At 36.8% G+C, this 4,902-nt stretch overlaps 1 annotated feature.

The window, feature by feature from the left end:
- Positions 434–728: a silencer, noted in NCBI's record as "tiled region #873; HepG2 Repressive non-DNase unmatched - State 24:Quies". NCBI's record gives its function as "represses a minimal TATA promoter and a strong SV40 promoter by Sharpr-MPRA in HepG2 cells {active_cell/tissue: HepG2}" and the evidence as "EXISTENCE:reporter gene assay evidence [ECO:0000049][PMID:27701403]".

The following is a 4,902-nucleotide window of genomic DNA, read 5'->3' as shown; positions in this document are numbered from 1 at the left end:
TATAGTTAGCATATAAAGAACAGTGAGGACTTCCACTCGAGTCCGTGTGAAGAGACCACCAAACAGGCTTTGTGTGAGCAACAAGGCTGTTTATTTCACCTGGGTGCAGGTGGGCCGAGTCCGAAAAAAGAGTCAGCAAAGGGAGATAAGGGTGGGGCCGTTTTATAAGATTTGGGTAGGTAAAGGAAAATTACAGTCAAAGAGGGGTTGTTCTCTGGTGGGCAGGAGTGGGAGTCACAAGGTGCTCAGTAGGGGAGCTTTTGAGCCAGGATGAGCCAGGAGAAGGAATTTCACAAGACAACGTCATCAATTAAGGCAGGAACAGGGCATTTTCACTTCTTTTGTGGTGGAATGTCACCAGTTAAGGCAGAAACGGGCCATCTGGATGTGTACGTGCAGGTCACAGGGGATATGATGACTTAGCTTAGGCTCAGAGGCCTGACAAGGACAACCAGAGGTTACTTTCTTCGCCATCTTGATTTTGGCTGGCTTCTTTATCACATCCTGTTTTATCAGCACGGTCTTTGCGACCTGTATCTTGTGCCAACCTCCTATCTCATACTGTGGCTAAGAATGCCTAACTTCCTGGGAATGCAACCCAGCAGATCTTAGCCTCGTTTTATCCAGCCCCTATTCAAAATGGAGTTACTGTCATTCAAACGCCTGTGACATTTGCTATAAAAATCTTCTTTAGAACCTGAAATCCCTAAAATGTTAAGGTTTTTTTTTTTTTTTTTTGTTTTGTTTTCTGAAATAAACTTCCATAGTTTTGCAGATTTTCAAAGGGGTCTCTGACCTGAAAATCATTGAAAACAAGTTCTACAGAGATTATTTTTCAGGTGTGAACGTTTCATGATTGTATCCAAGTCTGTTATGTGCCTTGGAATAATGTGAAATTGAATTGGGATATGTAAAACAAAACAGCTCTCCAGGTAGTCATTATAACTTGGGTCAAGCTCCGCTTTGACTGTTTGCTTTATTTGTTTTGTTGAAGACACTCGTTAGAGGACCAAAGGGATTTGTCACTTCTTTGTTAAGCTGCATTTTTCTTGGTGTTCCTTGTGGATAAAATGTTTCTCTTTGGGATTTTTCTTTCTTCTTTTTTTGGAGTCAAATGAGCTTTGACATGAAGCATAAGAAATGTAAAAATGAACACAGAGAGGGTGCTACTTCTTATATGTTCTATTTTCACCCTGCATGACCAAGCTGAACTGTATCTGGCAAGAGCCCCAATATAGCATATTATTTATTTCTTCTGAGATTCAACAATTTCCCCTCAAGGCTGGCAGATGACACATACCTTGTCTTCAATGATATCCTTATGCCCACTCACTTAGGTGTGGCTTGCTTAATGTACCAGGAAAACTATTATAAAATCATCTGACTTTTATGGGCTTCTTGAAATTCAAAGGCATACTGTTTGATTTATATTCACCTTGTAATATGTAAGAAGTAATGAGTCCACCATTACCTAAGCTCATAGAAAAATTCCCACTTGTTTTTCATTTTATCACAAGTGAAGGCATTATTTTCACACTTTAGTTCTCACACTTCAACTCCTCTCTCCTTTTCTTTTCTAGAGGCTTTTAAGGGCCTTGGACTTTCTAGCTGGTAAGTTGTTGTTAGGCAATGGTTACCAGGGGTACCAATACTCCAGAAGAGCTCCGTGTTTTGCGATTTGTCCTTTCTAGTCTGTTTTTTGTCTGACTAAATGGAATGTGTTTAATTCCGTACTCACTACTGTGGTTTGAAAGTGTCCACTTCGAGAATCAGGTGTAATAGACCAATGGAACAGGTTAGAGAAACCAGAAATAAATTTTCATACCTACAACATCTGATCTTCAACAAAGTTGATGAAAGCAAACAATGGGGAAGAACTCTCTATTCAATAAATGGTTCTGGGATAACTGGCTAGCCATATGCAGAGAATTGAAACTGGACCCCTTTTTTATACTGTATTCAAAAATCAACTCAAAATGGATTAAAGACTTAAACGTAAGACCTATCACTATAAAAACTCTAGCAAAATACCTTGGAAATACCATTCTGGACCTAGGCCTTGGCAAACATTTCATGATAAAATCTCCAAAAGCAATTGCAATGGAAACAGAAATAGAAAAGTGGGACCTAACTAAAGAGCTTTTAAACAGCAAAAGAAAATTTCAACAGATTAAACAGACAGCCTACATAAAGGAAGAAAATATTTGCAACCGTGCATCTGACAAAGGTTTAATATCCAGAATCCATAAGGGATTTAAACAAATCAAGCAAAACAAACAAAAAACAAAACAAAAAATCCCCCACCAAAACAAAAAGCAAACCATTAAAAAATGGGCAAAAGGCATCAACAGATACTTCTCAAAAGACATACATGCAGCCATCAAGCACGTGAAAAAATGCTCAACAAAACATCATTAGAGAAATGCAAATCAAAACCATAATGAGATATCATCTCATACCAGTCAAAATGGCTATTATTGAAAAGTCAAAAAATAACAGATGCTGGTGACATTGCAGAGAAAAAGGATGCTTATACACTGCTGGTGGGAATGTAAATTAGTTCAGCCACTGTGGAAAGCAGTTTGGAGATTTCTCAAAGAACTTAAAACAGAACTACCATTCAACCCAATGATTCCATTACTGGTTATATAACCAAAGCAATAGAAATTTTTCTACCAAAAAGACACATGTACCTGTATGTTCATAAACGTACTATTAACAATAGCAAAGACATGGAATAAACCTAGCCCATCAATGGTGGACTGAATAAATAAAATGTAGTACATATACACCCATGACATACTATGCAGCCATGAAACAACAACAACAACAAAAAACTGTAATCATGTCCTTTGCAGCAACATAGATGCAGCTGGAGGCCATTACCCTAAGTGAATTAATGCAGGAACAGAAAACCAAATACTGCATGTTCTTGCTTACAAGTGGGAGCTAAACATTAAGTACACATGGGCAAAAAGAAACCATAGACACAGAGGCCTACTTGAGGGGAGAGGTTAGGAGGAGGGTGAAGGTTGAAAAACTACCTATCAGGTGCTGTGCTCACTATCTGTGTGATGAAATCATTTGTACAACAAATCCCAGCAACATGCAATTTACTCAAATGGTAAACCTGCATAGGTACCCCATGAACATAAAATAAAACTGGAGAAAAGAAAAAATAAATAAAATGATTTCTGGTGAGAAAAAAAAAATTAAGTATGGCCAACATGATTGTGTTAACAGGTGAGGCCTTTAAATGGTGATTAGACCATGAAGGCTCTTCTTTGTCAACGAGGTTAAGGACAGCATTTGGCTAGCTTGCCCTTTTGCTATGTGAGGATACGAGAAGAAGGTTCTCATCAGACACCCAAAGTTGGGGCAACTTGATCTTGGACTTCTCAGCCTTGGAGCTGTGAGAAACAGATTTCTGTTCTTTATAAATTATTCAGTCTTAGATATTCTGTTTTAGCAGCACAAATAGACTAAGTAACTCACTTGGAAGATTGTGCTTTGATCCATATGTTCCTCTCCCATTGTAGGTTCCCCTCTCATGACTTTCTTCTCTTTCTTCAGCTTCATGTAATCTAATGTATATTAATGAAAAATGCAGATCTGGAAACATGCATCAGAATGGCCCACTACCACCAAAAAGTAAAAATAAAAAGACGTAGTTATTTCTTGTTAAGCAAGAGCTTGATATGACCTCAAAGCCCAGTTCTCCAAACAAGGATGTGATTTTGCATAGATTTTGGGAAAGCTTCATGTTCACAGATTTTTTTAGTGTTTAGGGGTTGCCTGATTTTCAGGCACGGGCATGTGGTCACTAGACAGAGGCTACTGATGATTGGATAACTTTCAGAAGCATGGAAAAGTCACTAATTGGCTGATTTTGAAATGCTTCAGGCACTAACGTGAAGCTGTCACTGATTAATTGGGAAAGTTTAAAGTCAATTTAAGTGTTTACTGGATGATGGCTAGGTTGTTATGAAAAAAAAATCAGTCTTTCCTTTTCTTAAAATTTGAGAATAGGAAATTTTTATTCCATTTTTGGCAGAAATTAATTTTTATGATATTTTTCATGTTAATTATCAGTTTGTGAACTCTAGATTGATAAAAGCACATCACTAAGACAGTAAACAAATAATCCTTTTTCCTTCAATTTTATCTGGGCCATTATAGCTACTAAAAAGCAAAACACAATTTCTACAAAACTTGGAGAAAAAATTATTTGACCCAAGATTTCTTTAATGAAGTAACCATTCCAGTGTAAATGTAAAAGATGTATCTTCTCAAATATGTAAATTTCTTTTGTTGAATTTACTGTGATTGTAGCTTCAATAAAAATGAATCACAATAAGGAAGCAAATATGTGGAAAATTATTAAAAAGGATAATGATGATGGCTAAATTAATTCAAATTAAATTAACTCAAATGCAGAATTAGCTTTAAACTACTATGTGTACAATGGTTAGGAAAAAAGTGATTGTTAATTTATTTGAATCAAAACACTAGGTGTAAACATAAGAAATAAAATTATTAAATTAAAAAACTCAAGACTATATCAACAACATTACAAAATAAGTATAATTACTGGTGTTTAGAAATGGTGAAAGTTTCAGGAGGGAAAAAGGTTGGATAAACATGCTAATGCATTTATATTTAACAGAAGTAATCTTAAATGCCATTATTACTTTAGATCAATACATTAAAAAATAAAAATTCAGGCCAGGCACAGTGGCTCACACCTGTAATCCCAGCACTTTGGGAGGCCGAGGAGGGCAGATCATGAGGTCAGGAGATCGAGACCATCATGGCCAACATGGTGAAACCCTGTCTCTACTGAAAATACAAAAATTAGCCAGGCACAGTGGCACGTGCCTGTAATCCCAGCTACTCATGCTG

Source organism: Homo sapiens, chromosome 9 (assembly GCF_000001405.40).
Source record: "Homo sapiens chromosome 9, GRCh38.p14 Primary Assembly".
Taxonomy (NCBI): Eukaryota; Metazoa; Chordata; class Mammalia; order Primates; family Hominidae; genus Homo; species Homo sapiens.
The sequence above is the reverse complement of the archived record's forward strand: the minus strand, read 5'-3'. Positions and strand labels throughout refer to the sequence as shown.